Below are 20,092 nucleotides of genomic sequence, written 5' to 3'. Positions count from 1 at the left end.
CCACTGCACTCTAGCCTGGGTGACAGAGCAATACTCCATCTCGGTTGGGGGTGGGGGTGGAAAGAAAGAAAAAAAATATATGCTTTTAAATGTTTTATCTTATTTCTGATAACAAAAAATACTTGTGTTGCAAAAACTCAAAAACTTCAGCAAGATAAAAATGGAAAGCCAAAGTCCCATATAAGCCCACTGCTCTTCAGAAATACAAGGTCTACAATATTATTAGTTTTAAGAAAGTGCTTGAAAAACAGGACAAGGGAAAAAGCAACCAGGAAGAAAAATGGCTTGTGAGCAGTGATATGCTCTGGACATTTGCTAGTGAATGTCACCTCTTTCACTGGCAGGCTTATCATTTTATTTTCTCTGTTCACAAGAAGATTTAGGGTGTCCTGTAATATGTCTACTGATCAAAAAATGCAAACATTCTGGTAGCATAAGTGGCTAAAAATAAGAAAGAAAAAAATCCTGAGGCCTGAAAATGTATTGGTCATGTGTAGGGAATATTTTAAAGACCCAAAAATGTTGTTTGGAGTCATGCTGCCACCGCAACAGTTTTATGAGAGCCCTTCTGCTACACAGTATTCCATAAGGAGGCCTGCCTGCCTTTCGCCAAAGTACAGGCACCCTGCTCCAGATGCCCCACAACCAGGCTGCTGCCTCAGTTTTCATCAGCACCATTTTCACATTTCATTCCAATAAATAAGGATGCACTTAATCCTTGTCAGGGGCAGCACCTGGTACCCAGAATGCTGGACCTTCCCTGCCCTCGTGCTCATTGCCCCACCTCAGCAGGGCCTCTGACCCTGGGTACTTGGCAGGCTTCAGGGACTTTCTGCTGTTGGCCAGCCCAAATGTCCTGCAATTTCTCTTTCTAGCTGAGACCAATAAATCAACTGTGGACTGGTCAGAAGCCATCATCATCACTGCTATCAAAACCCAGGTCATAGAGCAAATTCTTTCCTGCCTCCTTGCATAGAGGGGTCTCTGAACATCCGAGATTGAGGTCACTGAACCAGCTCATCTGGTGGTCCCCCTGGGAACTGCTGGAAAGTAGCCAGTTGTCTTGGGAAGAGCACCTGCTGAGCTGCAAGAGTCTTCCCTGCACTGCCCTTACTGTCTTATTGGGCATGACTGTTCCTCCCAGAATAGGGCAGACTGGTTTTCTGGGGCTCCTGGGACACTGCAGATGCAGAGGCTGAGCACGGGGTTCCTGCTGCCCCAGGAAGGGGCTTTGAGGGACAGAAATTGCAGGCTGAGGACTCTGATATTTGGAATTGAATTTACAGGTCTGGATTGGGATTTGTTTTTGCTTGCTGGCTATGAGCCTGCCTCTGTGGGCCCTGTGGGCCTTCCTGGGCTGCTGCTTCTTGTCTTTCCCCCGCATTTCTACAGTCCCATCTTTCTGTTTAATCACCAAATGTTCACGTGGGTCACACAAAAACATACTTTGGGCTTGATATTTTTGGCAGGCATTCTTAATGCTGGTTGAAAAGTTTATCTCCAATGATGTGAGCTGTGAGGCTCCTTGGGAAACCAGGTCCCTGTCACTGGGAATCTTATGGCCTGGGACGCTGGAACCATGGTTCTTGGCACCTGTTTTAGTAACAGCCCAGTTCTTGCAGTTAGTCTGCACCACCTTGTCCTTTACATGCCTATTTCTTTCATGGGACCCAAATGCTGGCAGTGCAGCCTCTTCTTGGAGATCATCATTCTTTGCTCCTTCACCCCAGACATCAAATTCTCCAGGCTGTAGGGAGCCCATACCAGGATTCCATGCAGCAGGGAGGGCCTGGGCCTGCCATAAAACTGGTTTCTCAGAGGTGTATTTTTCCTGCCTGGTGAGATTGAGGCTCTGGGCCAAAGGTGGCGACGTCTGAGAAGCACTGTCTTTCACTGGAGGCACTGAGATCAATCTCTTCAGCTCTGCTAGGACACTGGGCACATTCAGCTGGCCTAGCTGCTCACACAGCTGCTGGAATTCCTGACTCTGCTGAGCAACTAAAACTTCAAGGTGCTTCAGGTTGGACTTCATTTCTATAAACTCTCCTTGTCTCTGGGGAGAGAGGCAGTGAGAAAGACAGTGATGGACAGTGCAAGTCAGAAAGCACAATAAAACATGAGAACAGACCAATGGATGTGACAGCAGAACCAAGGCTTGCTCCTTGTAGGGAACCTCTCAGGGTAAGCACAATTACACTCGGGAGTTGAACCCCTGGGGCCCACATCATGTCAAGGAACCTTGGGGAAGGAAGCTAGTCTATATGCTGGCCCCTTTCCAAGTGGCCTGTGCTGGCCTCTTGTCTTAGCTGAAAATTTGCAACTTTAAAGGTTTCTCGGCCGGGCGCAGTGACTCACACCTGTAATCCCCAGCACTTTGGGAGGCTAAGGCAGGTGGATCACAAGGTCAAGAGATTGAGACCATCCTGGCCAACATGGTGAAAAACCCCCTCTCTACTAAAAATACAAAAATTAGCTGGGCGTGGTGGTGCACACCTGTAAGTCCTAGCTACTCAGGAGGCTGAGGCAGGAGAATTGCTTGAACATGGGAGGCGGAGGTTGCAGTGAACTGAGATTGCACCACCGCACGACAAAGCGAGACTCTGTCTCAAAAAAAAAAAAAAAAAAAAAGTTTCTCTCTGGGTCTAGTTCAAAGCCCAAAACACACTTAGAAAGAGGTTGGGGTTTACACTTACAGCTTCAAATCTTTTCTTCATCTCAAGGATGGCCTGCTCCATGTTGCCTTTGTCCTGGACTGCCTCAAACACCAGGTCATTCTGGGCCTGTATAGTCTCTTGTACTAAATACAAAACAGTGACAGTTCACCTCCTGAAGACTATGTATGGTATGTCCCATCTGCCCAAACCACAGAACCACAGCAGTGAAAAGGGAGGAGCTGGATGCAGACCGGAGTGGTTCCTCCAGGCTCTCCTTCCCTCCCTCCTTGACAAGATCCTGGCTAGGGCAGACCCAACCTCAGCACCTGCTGGGGACTCTGAGAATCAGTTGCCCAGACAACAGCACAAAAGCTTCTGTGGCCTTCCTTCTTGGCCCTCTCATCAGAGTGATCTTAGTAGAATGCACCCTCTGAAACCTTCATTGAAACTTTTTTTCTTTTTTTTTTTTTGAGACGGAGACTAGCTCTGTCACCCAGACTGGAGTGCAGTGATGCGATCTTGGTTCACTGCAACTTCCCCCTCCTAGGTTTGAGCGATTCTCCTGCCTCAGCTCCTAAGTAGCTGGGATTACATGCGCATGCCACCATGCCCTGCTAATTTTTGTATTTTTAGTAGAGATGGGGTTTCACTATGTTGGCCAGGCTGGTCTTGAACTTCTGACCTCCGGTGATCTGCCCGCCTCGGCCTCCCAAAGTGCTGGGATTACAGGCGTGAGCCACCATGCCCAGCCCGTTGAAACTTTCGATGGCACCCCACTGGCCACTGAACAAAATCTAAATCTTTAAATTGGCTAACAAGATCTGGGCTCACTTCCCTTTACCCATTTGTCCTCCTCCATGTCTCTGGACTCTTGTTTTCTCTCTCACCACTGGCCTTTGTGCAAAGTCTTCCCTTAGCTTCAAGTACCCTGTTTCTGTCCCTGTCATTCCCCCCGCCCCCCGCAACCAATCACCACCTTAGTCCAGCTAATTCCTATTCTTCCTTCTACTTTCAGCAGTCACCTCCTCAGAAAATACCATTTCCACTCGGCTAGGGTGTTGCTTCTCTCTGCAGGTAGCACCGTGTATGTGCCCTACCATCATTTATTGCCCTCCACTTATTTATCCCATACTTACACTTGGACCCAAATAGACTTGGGGACCTAGGTGCTAACTACATCAGGACTGATTGATTTTCCTCTTTTGCACAGTGAGATTCTGCATGCACACACACACACACACATTTATTTAATGACACATTGTGTTGCAATTTATTGCCATCCTCTTGCTAGACTACAGGTCATATGAAGATGCTTTTATATTTATTCAACGAATGTTTAATGAGCATATACTATGTGCCAGGCACTATGGATATAGCAGTTATCAAGACAGATAAAGCTAGCTGGGCGTGGAGACTCACGCCTGTAATCCCAGCACTTTGGCAGGCTGAGGCGGGCAGATCACCTGAGGTCAGGAGTTCGAAACCAGCCTAGCCAACATGATGAAATTCTGTCTCTACTAAAAATACAAAAATGAGCCAGGCGTGGCGGCGGGTGCCTGTAGTCCCAGCTACTTGGTTGGCTGAGGCATGAGAATTGCTTGAACCTGGGAGGTAGAGGTTGCAGTGAGTTGAGATCCCACCATTGCACTCCAGCCTGGGTGACAGAGCGAGACTTCATCTCAAAAAAAAAAAAAAAAAAAAAAAGACAAATAAAGCCCTCTTGAAATTGCAATCTTAGGGAAAACAGGAGGTAGTTAATGACTAATTATACAAATAACTATAAATGTAATAACTGCTCTAAAGGAAAAGCGTACTGTGCTTGAGACCATGTAACTGTAGACTTAGTCACTCTCAGGGGTAAGATTTCCCTAAGAAACTGATATTTAGCTGAATTGTCATAAAACTGTAAGGGAAAGAATATTACCAACAGAAGAAAGAGCACGTTCCAAACAGAGGAATTGAGATCAGCATGGCTGAAACATGGTGAGCAAGGGGCCCAGGAGCAGGCCACAGCTGAGGGGAGGCAGGTCACAGTTACACAGAGGGGTGAATGAGCCATGGCAAGATTGGTGGACTTGAATTCTTTTTTCTTTCTTTCTTTCTTTTTTTGAGACAGAATCTCATTCTGTCGCCTAGCTGGAGTGCAGTGGCACGATCTCAGCTCACTGCAACCTCTGCCGCCTGAGTTCAAGCAGTTCTCCAGCCTCAGCCTCCGGAGTAGCTAGGATTACAGGCATGCACCACCATGCCCAGCTATTAATTGTATTTTAATAGAGATGGGGTTTTGCCATGTTGGCCAGGCTGGTCTCAAACTCTTGACCTCAGGTGATCCACCCGCCTCAGCCTCCCAAAGTGCTGGGATTACAGGCATAAGCCACCATGCCTGGCCGAAATATACACCTTTATCTGAAAGTTTATTGTCAGACACTGTGCTAGGAGAATGGAAAACAATTTTGAACAAAACTGTCTACCTACATGATTTTTTTTTTTTTTGAGACTGAGTCTCATTCTATTGCCAGGCTGGAGTGCAGTAGTGCAATCTCAGCTCACTGCAACCTCTGCCTCTGGGTTCAAGCAATTCTCCTGCCTCAGCCTCCCAAGTAGCTGGGACTTTAGGCACGCAACACCATGCCCAGCTAATTTTTGTATTTTTAGTAGAGACAGGGTCCACCATGTTGGCCAGGATGATCTCGATCTCTTGACTTCATGATTCGCCCACCTCGGCCTCCCAAAGTGCTGGAATTACAGGAGTGAGCCACCATGCCCGGCCGAATTCTACAGTCTAGAAGAGGGAAAAAATAATAAACAGGCTGGGCACAGTGGCTCACACCTATAATCCCAGCACTTTGGGAAGCCACTGAGGCGGGAGGATTGCTTGGGCCCAGGAGTTCTAGACCAGCCTGGGCAACATAGTGAGATCCTGTCTCTACAAAATGAAAAATAAAAATTAGCTGGGTGGGGTGGTATGTGCCTGTGGTCCTAGCTACTCGGGAGGCTGAGGTGGGAGAATTGCTTGATCCCAGGAGGTCAAAGCTACAGTCAGCTGTGATTGTGCCACTGCACTCCAGTTTTGATGACAGAGGGAGAACCTATCTCAAAAATAAAAAAAAAGAAAAGAAAAAAGCAGTAAGAAATGGTACATTTTATGTTATGTGTATTTTTACCACAATTTTTAAAAAGTGGGTCCAGGGCTGTGCCACCCCACTGGCAATGCTGGCTGCCTTCTGGAAACTGCATATGCCTCACTCCCTCAGTGTGTAAATTCACAAACACTAATGGATAACAACAGAAAATGGCATGAAAACAGTAGGAATCAGCAATTTTGCACAGGAAGTTTTGGGAAATGTTTACTGTAGTCTCCCTGCAGTTGGGAAAAAATTGAACAAACAAGATGAATTTGGTGGCAGGGCGTGGTGGCTCACGCCTGTAATCTCAGCACTTTGGGAGGCCGAGGCGGGTGGATCACCTGAGGTCGGGAGTTCGAGACCAGCCTGACCAACATGGAGAAACCCGGCCTCTACTAAAAATACAAAATTAGCCGGGTGTGGCGGCAGATGCCTGTAATCCCAGCTACTCGGGAGGCTGAGGCAGGAGAATCTCTTGATATAATCTCGTGATATAAAAACTAAGTAGGCCAGGCACGGTAGCTCCGCCCGTAATCCCAGCACTTCGGGTGGCCGACGCGGGCAGATCAGCTGAGATCAGGAGTTTGAGAACAGCCTGACCAACATGGAGAAACCCCGTCTCTACTAAAAATACAAAAATTAGCAGTGCGTGGTGTCGCATGCCTGTAGTCCCAGCTACTCGGGAGGCTGAGGCAGGAGAATCGCTTGAACCCGGGAGGCAGAGGTTGCGGTGAGCCGAGATCGCGCCATTGCACTCCAGCCTGGGCAACAAAAGCAAAACTCCATCTCAAAAAAAAAGACAAAAAAACCAACAACTAAGTAAAGTCTGAGCGCAGCAGCTCACACCAGTAATCCCAGCACTTTGGGGAGGCCAAAGCTGGCGGATCACAAGGTCTGGAGATCAAGACCTTCCTGGCCAACATGGTGAACCCCGTCTCTACTAAAAATACAAAAATTAGCTGGGCATGGTGATGCACGCCTGTAGTCCCAGCTACTCAGGAGGCTGAGGCAGGAGAAACACTTGAACCCAGGAGGCAGAGGTTGCAGTGAGCTGAGATTGTGCCACTACACTCCAGCCTGGCGACAGAGAGAGACTCCACCTCAAAAAAAAAAAAAAAAATTAGCCAGGCATGGTGGCATGTGCCTGTAGTCCCAGCTACTCAGGAGGCTGAGACAGGAGAACTGCTTGAACCTAGGAAGGGGAGGTTGCAGTGAGCTGAGATCGCACCACTGCACTCCAGCCTGTGTGACAGAGAGAGACTCTGTCTCAAAACAAACCAACCAACCAACAAACAAAAACTAAGTAAAATATATTGAGACGTGAAAATGGAACCGCTAAACTAACATGAAACAATTTAATCTAGCATAGTTTTTTTATTTTTTTGAGATGGAGTCTTACTCTGTCGCCCAGGCTGGAGTGCAGTGGCGCGATCTTGGCTCACCGCAACCTCTGCCTCCAGGGTTCAAGCGATTCTCCTGCCTCAGCCTCCTGAGTAGCTGGAGGCATGCGCCACCACGCCCGGCTAATTTTTGTATTTGTAGTAGAGACGGGGTTTTACCATGTTGGTCAGGCTGGTCTCCTACTTCTGATCTTGTGATCTGCCCGCCTCGGCCTCCCAAAGTGCTGGGATTACAGGCGTGAGCTGCTGTGTCTGGCCCAAAGAATTTTTTAGAAAGCAAATTTTCCCATATTTCTCACCACAGGTACAAGTTCAATTCCATGTGTCAATCAATTAGAAAGAGGCTATTTACTTAGGTATTGGATTCCTGCTCCTAAACCCAATTAGTCAAATATTCTTCAGACATCCATGTAGATATTTATAGTAGAGAGCAAATGTAATTATCCTTCCATAGAGAAGTTCCTAAATAGTAATGTTTCTTAGCAACAGTGGGCATTACTGACCCTCACAAAAGCAGAGCATGAGAAAGGCAAGCAAAGTGTTTGATTCTGGATTAAGTGCTCAGAAAGCATCCATCTGAGGTCCCATACATTCAGTTCTTGTCCCCAGGGCAACATATGTTTGGCGTCTTCTCTTTTATAGGAGCTTTTGTATCAAACTCATTACATTCAAAGTCTATCCATATTTTTTCTTTTAAAAAAATTTAGTTATGAAAATAACTGAAAACCATAATAGTATAAAAAGGCATACATTGAAAAATGATTGAATCTCTCCTCTGCAAACCTTGGTCTCTCTTCCTGGATTTAACATTATCATCGGTTTCTGGAATTTTACATTAATACGTGTGCATATCTGTATATACATTATAGGTCCTGTGTTTGTTTGTGTATGTGTGTCTAGAAGAGTATTTATTTCATTTTTGCTTTGACTATAAACATTAGATATTTTTAGCTTTTATGTAAAAATGCCATTTAAAATCCATTTCCATATTCTGGACAATATCTGTTTTCCTGTTAAGATGATTTTTAAACAATTTGTTTTTATTTTAGCAACTTGGTAAGGCCTCAATTGAGATGAGATCAGATTGTGATGCAAGCTTTTCCCCGGATGGCCAGTGATTTTCCTTTTACTCTGTAGTTTTATTCTCCCTCAGGTGCTGATGAGAGCCTAACAAAAGATCTGGCAGCCTCCTTGTATAAGATGAGACCACCTCCAACTTTTTTAGGGATACTCTTCCCAGTTTTCACTGGCTGGTCACACTTTCCAACAAGATGTATCCTGGAGCACGCGAAGAGCACCTTTTTGTTGTTTTAATTTAACAATGAACAGATATTTCCATTCTACCATATTCATATAGATGGATCTCACTCTTCTTAACAATTATATCTATTTTGCTTAGAAAGGCTTTTCCCATTCTAAAATTATAAAAATGTTGTCCATGGCCGGGCGTGGTGGCTTACACCTATAATCTCAGCACTTTGGGAGGCTGAGGTAGGTGGATATGAGGTCAAGAGTTTGAGACCATCCTGGCTAACATGGTGAAACCTTGTCTCTACTAAAAATATAAAATTTAGCTGGGCGTGGTGGTGTGTGCCTATAGTCCCAGCTACTTGGGAGGCTGAGGCAGGAGAATCGCTTGAACCCGGGAGGCAGAGGCTGCAGTGAGCCAAGATCACGCCACTGCACTTCAGCCTGGGTGACAGAGCGAAACTCCATCTCAAAAAAAAAAAAATGTTGTCCATGTTTTCTTCTAGTTCTTTTTATAATTTATCACCAGACTTAACATATGAGGTAAAGTAGTATACAAGAGGCTTTGGTAATTAACTTTATTACTGTGGTCCTTAGTGTCCTCAGCTGAAGAACAGGAAGAGTTAGATTAGATGGCCACAGTGACCCTTCTGGCTGGGCAGGCTGACTGGGAAAATATTTAATGACCTCATCTGTGAAGGCACCAATTACATAACAACACAGACAGCACTTTCACACAGTATCTTTACTTCCCTATTCCCTGATGAGCACATGAGTAGAGACTGAAAGCTTGCAGAATGCACTGAGGTGGAGTTCAATGCTCTAGAATAGCTGGACTGGACCTGGCCATATGCTAGAGGATTTGTCTGGTTCCTCTCTCAATGATTAATTTTCTGCTCATCATCATTTCCTACCAAGAAAGAGAATTATTCTGGATAGGCTACTTGTGCTCATTTTCAAGAATGACCTGTCCTAATTCATGTGATACTGCTGTGTCTGTTACTGAGTCTTTTTTCTTTCTTTTTCTTTTTTGAGACAGAGTTTCGCTCTTGTTGCCCAGGCTGGAGTGCTATGGCGCAATCTCAGCTCACTGAAACCTCTGCCTCCCAGGTTCAAGTGATTCTCCTGCCTCCCAAGTAGCTAGGATTAAAGGCCTGCACCAGCACGCCTGGCTAATTTTGTATTTTTTTTTTAGTAGAGATGGGTTTTCACCATATTGGTCAGGCTGGTCTCAAACTCCTGACCTCAAGTGATCCACCCACCTCGGCCTCCCAAAGTGCTGGGATTACAAGTGTGAGTCACTGTGCCTGGGCTTTTGTTTTGTTTTGTTTTGTTTTGTTTTTGAGAGAGTCTGGTTCTATCGCCCAGGCTGGAGTGCAGTGGCAGGATCTCGGCTCACTGCAACCTCCCCATCCTGGGTTCACGTCATTCTGCCTCAGCCTCCTGAGTAGCTGGGACTACAGGTGCCCGCCACCACGCCCAGCTAATTTTTTGTATTTTTAGTAGACATGGGGTTTCACCGTGTTAGCCAAGATGGTCTTGATCTCCTGACCCCGTGATCTGCCCGCCTTGGCCTCCCAAAGTGCTGGGATTACAGGCGTGAGCCACCACACCTGGCCTTTTTTTTTTTTTTTTGAGATGGAGTCTCACTCTATCGTCCAGGCTGGAGTGCAGTGGCGCCATCTCGGCTCACTACAACCTCCACCTCCCAGGTTCAAACGATTCTCCTGTCTCAGCCTCCCAAGTAGCTGGAATTACAGGCTCCAGCCATCACGCATGGCTAATTTATGTATTTTTAGTAGAGACGGGTTTTCACCATGTTGGACAGACTGGTCTCAAACTCTTGACCTCAAGTGATTCACCTGCCTTGGCCTCCCAAAGTGCTGGAATTACAGACATGAACCACCACGCCCACCCTTGAATCTATTTTTTTTTTTCATTTTATTTATTTAGTTTTAGTTTTAGTGTTTAGAGACAGGGTCTTGCTCTAGCTCCCAGGCTGGAGTGCAGTGGCACCATCTTGGCTCACAGCAGCTTCGACGTCCCAGACTCAAGCGATCCTCCCACCTCACCCTCCCTAGTACCTGGGACTACAGGCATATGTCCCATGCCCTGCTGGTTTTGTTTATTTTTTGTAGACACAAAGTCTCCTTATGTTTCCCAGGCTGGTCTCAAACTCCTGGACTCAAGCAATCCACCCACCTTGGCCTCCCAAAGTGCTGGGATTAGGCTGGGCGTGGTGTCTCACGCCTATAATCCCAGCACTTTGGGAGGCCGAAACAGGCTGATCACCTGAGGTCAGGAGTTCAAAACCAGCCTGGCCAACATGATGAAACCTTGTCTCTAGTAAAAATACAAAAAAATAGCCAGGTGTGGTGGCATGCACCTGCATGAGACTGGTGCAGGAGAGACTCATGCAGGAGACTGGCTTGAACCCGGGAGGAAGAGGTTGCAGTGAACCGAGATCGTGCTACTGCACTCCAGCCTGGGTGACAGAGCGAGACTCCATCTCAAAAAAACAAAAACAAAAACACAAAGTGCTGGGATTATAGGCAGGAGCCACCACGCCCGGCCTCTCTTCTGAGTCTTACCCTTTGAAAATTAAGGAACCTGCCAGGCGCGGTAGCTCACGCCTGTAATCCCAGCACTTTGGGAGGCCGAGGTGGGCAGATCACCTGATATTAGGAGTTCGAGACCAGCCTGGCCAACATGGTGAAACCCCGTCTCTACTAAAAATACAAAAATTAGCCAGGCATGGTGGCAGGCACCTGTAATCCCAGCTACTCAGGAGACTGAGGCAGGAGAATCGCTTGAACCTGGGAGGCAGAGGTTGCACAAGTTCGCGCCATCGCACTCCAGCCTGGGGGACAAGAGTGAGAGTTCGTCTCAAAAAAAAAAAAAGAAAAGAAAAAAAGAAAAGCAAAAGAAAATTAAGGAATGGATCCCTTTGCCTACTCTAAGCCAGATGCAGTTTTAGTTCTTTCTCTGCCTTGATCTTGTGTTGGGGCCTCAGGCACTTCCTTTCCCTTTTCTGGGATTTAAACGCCATACTTTTGCTGCAATCCTCCTTTTTTGTACTTCACCCAGTTTTATTATTATTATTATTATTTGATACAGGGAGTTTCACTCTGTTGTTCAGGCTGGAGTACAGTGGCACGATCTCAGCTCACTGCAACCTCTGCCTCCTGGGTTCAAGCGATTCTCCTGCCTCAGCCTCCCAAGTAGCTGGGATTACAGGTGTCTGCCACCACGCCTGGCTAATTTTTTTTGCATTTTTAGTAGAGACGGGCTTTCGTCATTTTGGCCAGGCTGGTCTCGAACTCCTGGCCTCAAGTGATCCTCCCGCCTTAGCCTCCCAAAGTGCTGGGATTATAGGCATGAGCCACTGTGCCCGGCCCACCCAGTTTTAAATGTAAAACAAAAACAGAGTACTTTCCTTGGGTACTTATAAATGACTTACTCTATCATGTTATACAAAGGAAGCATCCCTGATTTGCTTCTGCCGTCTGTCTTGCTACTTCTTGTGGGGTTAACAGTTTCAAGGCTTCCAGAACAAGTTTTTTTTTTTTTTTTTTTTTTTGACGGAGTCTCGCTCTGTCGTCCAGGCTGGAGTGCAGTGGCGCCATCTCAGCTCACTGCCACCTCCGCCTCCCAGATTCAAGCAGTTCTTCTGCCTCAGCCTCCCGAGTAGCTGGGACTACAGGCGCCCACCACCACACCCAGCTAATTTTTGTATTTTTAGTAGAGATGGGGTTTCACCATATTAGACAGGCCAGACTTGAACTCCTGACCTTGTGATCTGCCCGCCTCGGCCTCCCAAAGTGCTAGGATTACAAGTGGGAGCCACTGTGCCCGGCCCCAGAACAAGTTTCTAAACAGATGCATATGCCCTGTGTGTGGGATGCCCAGGTTGAAATCCAGCAGACAGTACAGTGCTTCTATGCAGACAGTTGGGGATTAATTTTTAGGCCACAAAAAGGCATTAATTTTTGTAAATTATGAGCAGTCCACCCCATGGCATTTGTGTAAGTTGATTTCAACTTGTTTATAAAATAAACACACAGACAAATGCAAACAAGTACAGATGCATAGTCATCAGCTCATCGTTTTGCTAGGAAACAGGTGGTTCTAGAGAAGTATTCACCCAAGGAGAACTGTATATTTACTCTCTTCTGTTTATAGGGCAAGGGCCATGGTTTCATCTAAATGTAAACCACTAATTGGTGGAGCACAGGATTTTATAAACCACAAACTATAAGTAAAATTGAGAATGGGGCTGGGCGTGGTGGCTCATGCCTGTAATCCCAGCACTTTGGGAGGCTGAGGCGGGCAGATCACGAGGTCAGGAGATGGAGACCATCCTGGCTAACACAGTGAAACCCCGTCTCTACTAAAAATTTTAAAAATTAGCCAGCCGTGGTGGCAGACGCCTGTAGTCCCAGCTACTTAGGAGGCTGAGGCAGGAGAATGGCGTGAACCCGGGAGGCGGAGCTTGCAGTGAGCCGAGATTGCGCCACTGCACTCCAGCCTGGGTGACAGAGCGAGACTCTGTCTCAAAAAAAAAAAAAAAATTGAGAATGATGCTGTGATTCACAACACAGCTCTCACTGAAACCAAGGCAGCAAGAAGAGCAGCAGGTACTACAGTATTTCTAACTCCTAAGGGGGCAGTCAGTGTCTATAGACAGCACAGGCAGCAATTTGAGACTCAAGGATGTTGCTGACTCACTTCAGGCAGTGAGATGAGAAACCTAGCAGAGCTACCTGCCCTGAGGCAACATGGTTACCAGGTGGGGGATTAGTGCCTCACAAAAGGCATCATGGGACCAGAGCATTGTCACATAGAGGTGGGCCTCACTACCCAGCTCAGTGTGCTCCACATCTCTTCAGGACTAACCCTATATACCCATCCTCTCATCTGAAACCCTGTGAGGAACCTCACCACTGGAAACCAGGCTGGGGTCAGAAAGTTCATGTTCATCATTCACCAGTGCCCTCTGCTGATACCTCAAACATGAGGCACTCACATGTCTTGGCCACAGTCTCCAAAGAATCCAAAATAGATTGGCTTCTTGAACTGAGATGGTCCTCAGACTTTTCCACAGACGTCTGCAACTAAGAAACCCAAAATTATGAAATAATTCACAGGCTATTGCCTTATTCTACTATCTTAGAGAATTGTCATTTCATGATAAATAGGGATAGTTAAAATATTGCTATTCTACATTAACTAAAGCCAATACAATATAAATATTAAACTTCTTAAAATATAAGATGTTCTAACTCCTTGAAAAGTATCTGTACTTACCCTGAGAATGCTTTCTCTAACATTAGAAACAAAGTTGTATAGAGTCTCACTAGAATAGGAGGGAAAAAAGAAAACAAATCTTTATGAAATATTGAAGTGATAAGTAACATAAATGATTCCATAAATATGGCAGATCTCTACCTAGCATAGCATCAAAACATTGCTTGATTAGATCTGAAGACTTGACCCTGAGAAACCTTAGTGCCCAGCAGGGAAAAAAAAAGAGAGTCCCAGCATCTTGGGAGGCTAAGGCAGGTGGATCACAAGGTCAGGAGTTCAAGACCAGCCTGGCCAAGACAGTGAAACCCCGTCTCTACTAAAAATACAAAAATTAGCCAGGCGTGGTGGTGGGCACCTGTAATTCCAGCTACTGGGGAGGCTGAGACAGGAGAATTCCTTGAACCTGGGAGGCGGAGGTTGCAGTGAGCCAAGATCATGCCACTGCACTCCAGCCTGGGAGACAGAGCGAGACTCCACCTCAAAATAAAATAAAAAGTTAAAAAAAAAAAAAAGAGAGAACACAGACTTCCTATGACCACTGCTAAGGCAAATCGCATTTTTCTTTTTAAAATCCATATTCATATACATATTTATATGTAAATATTAATATGAAAATATTCATTTCTAATGAAAAAGAAGCTATCACAGTTATTCCTCAACTATACATACTACTCTTTTTTTTTTTTTTTTTTTTTGAGACAGAGTCTCGCTCCGTCACCCAGGCTGGAGTGCAGTGGCACGATCTCGGCTCACTGCAAGCTCTGCCTCCTGGATTCACACCATTCTCCTGCCTCAGCCTCCCAAGTAGCTGGGACTACAGGCTCCCGCCACCACGCCCGGCTAATTTTTTGAATTTTTAGTAGAGACGGGGTTTCATCGTGTTAGCAAGGATGGTCTCAATCTCCTGACCTCGTGATCCGCCTGCCTCGGTCTCCCAAAGTGCTGGGATTACAGCCGTGAGCCACCGCGCCTGGCCACATCCAGTTCTTAAAAAAAGACTCACACATGGGCTGGGCATGGTGGCTTACACCTGTAATCCCATCACTTTGGGAGGCTGAGGCCGGTGGATCACCTGAGGTCAGGAGTTTGAGACCAGCCTGGCCAACATGCTGAAACCCCGTCTCTACTAAAAATACAAAAATATTAGCTGGGCATGGTGTCACGCGCCTGTGGTCCCAGCTACTTGGGAGGCTGGGGCACTTGAATCGCTTGAACCCAGGCGGCAGAGGTTACAGTGAGCCAAGATCTTGCCACTATACTCCAGCCTGGGCAACAGAGTGAGACTCCATCTCAATAAACAAAACAAAACAAAAGCCAAAGAATTCATGCATTGTATGATGAAAACTCATGGACATGAACAGAAGATCAACAGACACTGGGGCCTAGTTGAGGTGAAGGGTGGAGGAGGGAAAGGATCAGAAAAAAAAATAGCTATTGGGTACTATGCTTAGTACCTGGGTGATGAAATAATCTGTACAACAAACATCTGTGACAAGAGTCTACCTATGTAACAAACCTGCACATATACCCCTGAACCTAAAATAAAAGTTTAAAAAAATTCAAAAAAGTTTTTGAATGTAAAATTTAAACGATTTCATGCATTCTATTCTTTTTTGTTGTTGTTGTTGTTTTTTTGCTTGTTTGTTTGAGATGGAGTTTCACTCTTGTCTCCCAGGCTGTAGTGCAATGGTGCAATCTAGGCTCCCTGCAACCTCCGCCTCCTGGGTTCAAGTGATTCTCCTGTCTCAGCCTCCTGAGTAGCTGGGATTACAGGCACCCGCCACCGTGCCTGGCCACATTCTATTCTAGACTCTAAAATAAATAATGTTGTCCAACTTCCTAATCCTGATGATCTGAAAAGAAAAATCAGGGGGCAGATGTTTAGGAAAAATAAGTGTAACATTACTTGAATATTACATTTCTCTTAGAAATCCTCTAGTTTTTATTTTTCAGAGAGAAAAAAATTGTGGTATGTAAATCTACCACAAATCATATTGACAAGAAGGCAATTAAGAATAACTAGGAGGCTGGGTATGGTGGCTCATGCCTGTAATCCCAGCACTTTGAGAGGTCGAGGTGGGACGACTGCTTGAGCCCAGGAGTTCAAGACCAGCCTGGACAACATAGTGAGACACTATCTCTGAAAAAAAAAAATTAGGTGGCCACAGCTGTGTGTGCCTCTGATCGAAGCTACTTGGGAAGCTAAGGTGGGAAGACTGCGGTGGCTCATGCTTGTAATGCCAGCACTTTGGGAGGCCGAAGTGGGCAGATCACCTGAGGTCAGGAGTTCGTGACCAGCCTGGCCAACATGGCGAACCCCGTCTCTACTGAAAATACAAAAATGAGCTGGGCATGCTGGCATGCGCTTGTGATCCCAGCTACTCGGGAGGCTGTGGCAGGAGAATCACTTGAACCCAGGAGGCGGATGTTTCAGTGAGCCGAGATTGTGCCATTGCACTCCAGTCTGGACAACAAGAGTGAAACTCCATCTCAGAAAAAAATAATAATAAAATAAATAATAATAATAATAATGGCCAGGCACAGTGGCTCACGCCTATAATTCCAGCATTTTGGGAGGCTGAGATGGGTGGATCAACTGAGGTCAGGAGTTTGTGACCAGCCTGGCCAACATGGTAAAACCCTGTCTCTACTAAAAATACAAAAATTAGCCAGGCATGGTGGCAGGCGCCTGTAGTCCCAGCTACTCAGGAGGCTGAGGCAGGAGAATCGCTTGAACCTGGGAGGCAGAGGTTGCAGTGAGCCAAGATTGTGCCACTGCACTCCAGCCTGGCGACAGAGCAAGACTCCGTCAAAAAAAAAAAATCAATCTATAATTCTCTCTCTCCCTCTTTCTCTTTCTCCCTCTTTCTCTGTGTGTCTGTTTGTGTGTCTGTGTGTGTGTGTGTGTGTGTGTATGTGTGTGTAAGTCCTATGGTTTGGTTTCTCTGGAGAACTCTAATACATGCTATTATGCTAAAATTGAATTATTTAATTACTGACACTCTATGTCTTGTTTTACTCAGAAAAGGTGAGTTCTTTCATCCATTTGAAAGGTTTACATACCTGTCACATTTGTCTTTTGCCCTTTTCTTTTTCTCCTCAAACTGTTCCAAGAGGCCTTTTGATTTTCCAACTGACAAAGGAGGAGGAAATAAACCTCCATCTTTTATATCTCCTCCGAACAGCTGGGGCTTTGTCTGGTACTTTGTGAAAATGCTAGGTTCACCCTGTTAAATGAAAAAAATATATAGCATTTCACACATAAAAATATTTATAGCATTCACTATTTTCTGTACAATGCAGAGTCACATTTAAGTGCAAACCATATTGCTGTAACGTAACATAGCAAGTAGTATTTCCATTTTATCTTTGTATACACCAGAAAATTATATTTAAAATAAAGCAACTGTTTTTATTAATATAGATTTTTGCCTTACCAGCCCAGAGATATTTTAAATGTCAACCAAAATAGCTTAGAATCAATTGCATAAATTTAAAGGCAAGAACAGAGAACCATTTATGCTATTTCTGACATGATGTGTTAAAGTTTTCATAATCATAATTTTAACTCAAATTGCTGTTGCTCAGCTGCTAGTGAACTGAACTCATATTGGTAAGTTTGATGTGGACTGGACAGTGGGCATGCTGACAAATGGTGAGCCACTTTCTGCATTCTTTGGCAAAATTCTGAAACATTCAGGGAGGTCATTTATTCCTTCATATCACTAGATACCAATTTTTGTACTGAAATACTTATTTCAGAGCATACTTTACTAACTTAAAGCACCGACTGGCTGGGCATGGTGGCTCACCCCTGTACTCCCAACACTTTGTTTGGGAGGCCGAGGTGGGTGGATCACAAGGTCAGGAGTTTGAGACCAACCTGACCAATGTGATGAAACCCCGTCACTACTAGAAATACAAAAATTGGTCGGGTGTGGTGGCTCATGCCTGTAATCCCAGCACTTTGGGAGGCCGAGGCGGGCGGATCACCTGAGGTCAGGAGTTTGAGACCAGCCTGCTCAACTTGGCGAAACCCTGTCTCTACTAAAATACAAAAAATTAGCCGGGCATGCTGGCAGGCGCCTGTAATCCCAACTACTCAGGAGGCTGAGGCAGGAGAATTGCTTTAACACAGAAGGAGGAGGTTGCAGTGAGCCAAGATTGCACCACTGCATTCCAGCCTGGGCGACAAGAGTGAAACTCCGTCTCAAAACAGAAACAAAAACAAAAACAAAAATTAGCTGGGCGTGGTGGCACACACCTGTAATCACAGCTACTCGGGAGGCTGAGGCAGGAGAATCTCTTGAACCTGGGAAGAGGAGGTTGCAGTGAGCCAAGATCGTGCCACTGCACTCTAGCCCGGGTGACAGAGTGCGACTCTGTCTCAAAAGAAAAGAAAAGAAAAGAAAAGAAAAAAAAGCACCAACTTAATCTTATTTGTTAAGTCCCTATTTGATGCATGTAAGTTTATATATAAAACTTGAGCCCAGGCTGGGCACAGTGGCTTACGCCTATAATCCCAGCACTTTGGGAGGCCGAAGTGGGCAGATCACCTGAGGTGGGGAGTTCAAGAACAGCCTGACCAACATGGAGAAACCCCGTCTCTACTAAAAATACAAAATTAGCCAGGCGTGGTGCGCATGCCTGTAATCCCAGCTACTCAGGAGACTGAGGCAGGAGAATTGCTTAAACCTGGAAGGCAGAGGTTGTGGTGAGCCGAGATCGTACCATTGCACTCCAGTCTGGGCAACCAGAGCAAAACTCCGTCTCAAAAAAAAAAAAAAAATCCCTTGAGCCCAGGAGTTCAAGACCAGCCTGGGCAACATGGCTAAACCCCATCCCTACAAAAAATATAAAAATTAGCTGGTGCAGCTGGGCACGGGGGCTCACGCCTGTAATCCCAGAACTTTGGGAGGCTGAGGCAGGTGGGTCATGAGGTCAGGAGATTGAGACCATCCTGGCTGACATGGTGAAATCCTGTCTCTACTAAAAATACAAAAATTAGCTGGGCGTGGTGGTGCACGCCCATAGTCCCATCTACTCAGGAGACTGAGGCAGGAGAATCGCTTGAACCCGGGAGGCAGAGGTTGTAGTGAGCTGAGATCATGCCACTGCACTCCAGTCTGGCAACAGTGAGGCTCCCTCTCAAAAAAAAAAAGAAAAAAATTAGCTTGGTGTGGCCAGGCATGGTAGCTCACACCTGTAATCCCAGCACTTTGGGAGGCCAATGCAGGTGGATCACTTGAGGTCAGGAGTTTGAGACCAGCCTAGCCAACACAGTGAAACCCTGTCTCTACTAAAAATACAAAAATTAGCTGGGCATGGGGGCAGGCGCCTATAATCCCAGCCACTCAGGAGGCTGAGGCATGATAATTGCTTGCACCCAGGAGGCAGAGGTTGCAGTGAGCTGAGATCACACTGAAGCAGGAGATGTAAAGAGAAAAACAAGTTTTCTCTTGCTGGGCTGACTCACTCCAAGACCTAGCAATAGGCAGCAGAGCTCTGGCAGGGCTTTGATAACACTATGTGCAAAACCAGAGCCCTCAAGGAATGTGCTCCAGAGTCCCCTCTCCTCCCATTCCCAGGCGAGGGTGGGAAAGCAGGTTTTTCTCTTTTCCCAACTTCCCCCTCCCCTTTGATAATCCTTCCTTAGTGATACTCAAGGTTACTTCACAGAGTTTTACAATTCCTGTTTCTCTTCTGTGCAACATGACAAGGTCACAAGACGAGCTTGAGTAAGATATGTACCAGATGCAAAGCCTGCTTTAGTTTGATAAGTTCCTGTTTTCCTTCCAATGCAGCTGCGAGGTCACGAGCTATGCTAGGATGATGAAACCTGTCACTGTTTGATTAACTGCCTTTGTTCTGCTTCTGTATGCCCACTTGCCTGCACTATACACTTCATGCCACCAAATTCCCTCCACGCCATTCAAACTGGCCAATCCCCTTTCAGAAATGTGTATAAAAGTCAAGCCCTGTTTCTGTTCAGGTCTCAGCCTTTTGGATGCGAATCCGCTGAGCCGGTGCACACCTTAATAAAATCCTCCTGTTTTATCCATTTGGTCTCTCTGGTCCTCTGATTCCTGCCACAGCACCACTGCACTACAGCCTGGGTGACAGAGGGAAAAACTCTGTCTCAAAAACAAAACAAAACAAAACAAAACAAAACTACATTTAGTTATAGGTGCCTCCAAAATCAAAATGTTTTTGACTCACAAGAAAACACAGATTGATCTCAAAGAATCAGGCTGGGCATGGTGGCTCACACCTGTAATCCCAGCACTTTGGGCAGCTGAGGTGAGCAGATCATCTGAGGTTAGGAGCTCAAGACTAGCCCGCCAACATGGAGAAACAC

General features: G+C 45.9%; 1 protein-coding gene and 1 pseudogene across 9 annotated transcripts in view, besides 1 other annotated feature; one reads left to right on the top strand and one right to left on the bottom strand.

Annotated features, from left to right (window-relative positions):
* Positions 1-80: 80 nt before the first annotated feature.
* Positions 81-20,092, bottom strand: part of IHO1 (interactor of HORMAD1 1) — a 66,798-nt gene continuing 46,786 nt past the window's right edge. For 7 of the 9 annotated variants that reach the window (XM_011533672.3, NM_178173.4, NM_001135197.2 and 4 more), the window contains 5 exons: positions 16,798-16,961; positions 13,735-13,783; positions 13,454-13,541; positions 2,694-2,797; positions 81-2,053 (listed from right to left, as the gene is read on the bottom strand). In XM_011533672.3, coding sequence (XP_011531974.1) covers positions 905-2,053; positions 2,694-2,797; positions 13,454-13,541; positions 13,735-13,783; positions 16,798-16,961 — 1,554 coding nt within the window. In that variant the 3' untranslated portion in view covers positions 81-904. Of the gene's footprint in view, positions 2,054-2,693; positions 2,798-13,453; positions 13,542-13,734; positions 13,784-16,797; positions 16,962-17,998; positions 18,043-20,092 lie in introns of those variants that run through there. The other 2 variants (XM_047448069.1, XM_011533671.3) reach the window with 2 other exon arrangements.
* Positions 5,923-6,058, top strand: GCSHP6 (GCSH pseudogene 6; annotated as a pseudogene).
* Positions 9,020-9,069: an enhancer, noted in NCBI's record as "active region_19858". NCBI's record gives its function as "activates an Ori minimal core promoter by ATAC-STARR-seq in GM12878 lymphoblastoid cells {active_cell/tissue: GM12878}" and the evidence as "EXISTENCE:reporter gene assay evidence [ECO:0000049][PMID:35858748]".

The sequence above is a fragment of the Homo sapiens genome, chromosome 3, assembly GCF_000001405.40.
Source record: "Homo sapiens chromosome 3, GRCh38.p14 Primary Assembly".
NCBI lineage: Eukaryota > Metazoa > Chordata > Mammalia > Primates > Hominidae > Homo > Homo sapiens.
The sequence above is the reverse complement of the archived record's forward strand: the minus strand, read 5'-3'. Positions and strand labels throughout refer to the sequence as shown.